The sequence below is a fragment of the Homo sapiens genome, chromosome 2 (genome assembly GCF_000001405.40).
Source record: "Homo sapiens chromosome 2, GRCh38.p14 Primary Assembly".
Classification (NCBI taxonomy): domain Eukaryota; kingdom Metazoa; phylum Chordata; class Mammalia; order Primates; family Hominidae; genus Homo; species Homo sapiens.
In genome coordinates, this window is record NC_000002.12 from 160,855,386 (window position 1) to 160,856,955 (window position 1,570).

At 51.0% G+C, this 1,570-nt stretch overlaps 1 annotated feature.

Moving 5' to 3' along the window:
- Nucleotides 511–1,118: an enhancer, noted in NCBI's record as "H3K27ac-H3K4me1 hESC enhancer chr2:161712407-161713014 (GRCh37/hg19 assembly coordinates)". NCBI's record gives its function as "activates a minimal SCP1, AML or CMV promoter by ChIP-STARR-seq in primed H9 embryonic stem cells {active_cell/tissue: H9 hESC(primed)}" and the evidence as "EXISTENCE:reporter gene assay evidence [ECO:0000049][PMID:30033119]".

A 1,570-nucleotide genomic window follows, 5' to 3' on the forward strand; every position in this document is an offset into this window, starting at 1 on the left:
CACATAGTCCCATATTTCTTGGAGGCTTTGCTCATTTCTTTTTATTCTTTTTTCTCTAACCTTCCCTTCTCGCTTCATTTCATTCATTTCATCTTCCATTGCTGATACCCTTTCTTCCAGTTGATCACATCGGCTCCTGAGGCTTCTGCATTCTTCACGTAGTTCTCGAGCCTTGGTTTTCAGCTCCATCAGCTCCTTTAAGCACTTCTCTGTATTGGTTATTCTAGTTATACATTCTTCTAAATTTTTTTCAAAGTTTTCAACTTCTTTGCCTTTGGTTTGAATGTCCTCCCGTAGCTCAGAGTAATTTGATCATCTGAAGCCTTCTTCTCTCAGCTCGTCAAAGTCATTCTCCATCCAGCTTTGTTCCGTTGCTGGTGAGGAACTGCGTCCTTTGGAGGAGGAGAGGCGCTCTGCGTTTTAGAGTTTCCAGTTTTTCTGTTCTGTTTTTTCCCCATCTTTGTGGTTTTATCTACTTTTGGTCTTTGATGATGGTGATGTACAGATGGGTTTTCGGTGTGGATGTCCTTTCTGTTTGTTAGTTTTCCTTCTAACAGACAGCACCCTCAGCTGCAGGTCTGTTGGAATACCCTGCCGTGTGAGGTGTCAGTGTGCCCCTGCTGGGGTGTGCCTCCCAGTTAGGCTGCTCGGGGGTCAGGGGTCAGGGACCCACTTCAGGAGGCAGTCCGACCATTCTCAGATCTCCCGCTGCGTGCTGGGGGAACCACTGCTCTCTTCAAAGCTGTCAGACAGGGACATTTAAGTCTGCAGAGGTTACTGCTGTCTTTTTGTTTGTCTGTGCCCTGCCCCCAGAGGTGGAGCCTACAGAGGCAGGCAGACCTCCTTGAGCTGTGGTGGGCTCCACCCAGTTCGAGTTTCCTGGCTGCTTTGTTTACCTAAGCAAGCCTGGGCAATGGCGGGTGCCCCTCCCCCAGCCTCGCTGCCGCCTTGCAGTTTGATCTCAGACTGCTGTGCTAGCAATCAGCTAGATTCTGTGGGCATAGGACCCTCCGAGCCAGGTGTGGGATATAGTCTCGTGGTGCGCCGTTTTTTAAGCCGGTCTGAAAAGCGCAATATCCGGGTGGGAGTGACCCGATTTTCCAGGTGTGTCCGTCACCCCTTTCTTTGACTCAGAAAGGGAACTCCCTGACCCCTTGCGCTTCCCAGGTGAGGCAATGCCTCGCCCTGCTTTGGCTCGCGCCCGGTGCGCGCACCCACTGGCCTGCGCCCACTGTCTGGCACTCCCTAGTGAGATGAACCCGGTACCTCAGATGGAAATGCAGAAATCACCCGTCTTCTGCGTCGCTCACGCTGGGAGCTGTAGACCGGAGCTGTTCCTATTCGGCCATCTTGGCTCCTCCCCTGCCAGATACTGTTTTCTACTGTGAAATCTGTCACTGCAGAATATTAAGGGCCAATTCCTCAATCTGGGTGACCACACTGGGGGCCACTTTCTCCCTCACAACTCCTTGGCATCTCACCCAAGTTCAGAAGTCAAAGAGGAGGCCTTCAGAGACAAAGAACTATTCTTAGGGCTTAACCAATTTCGCTTACTGACATAGATATTTCC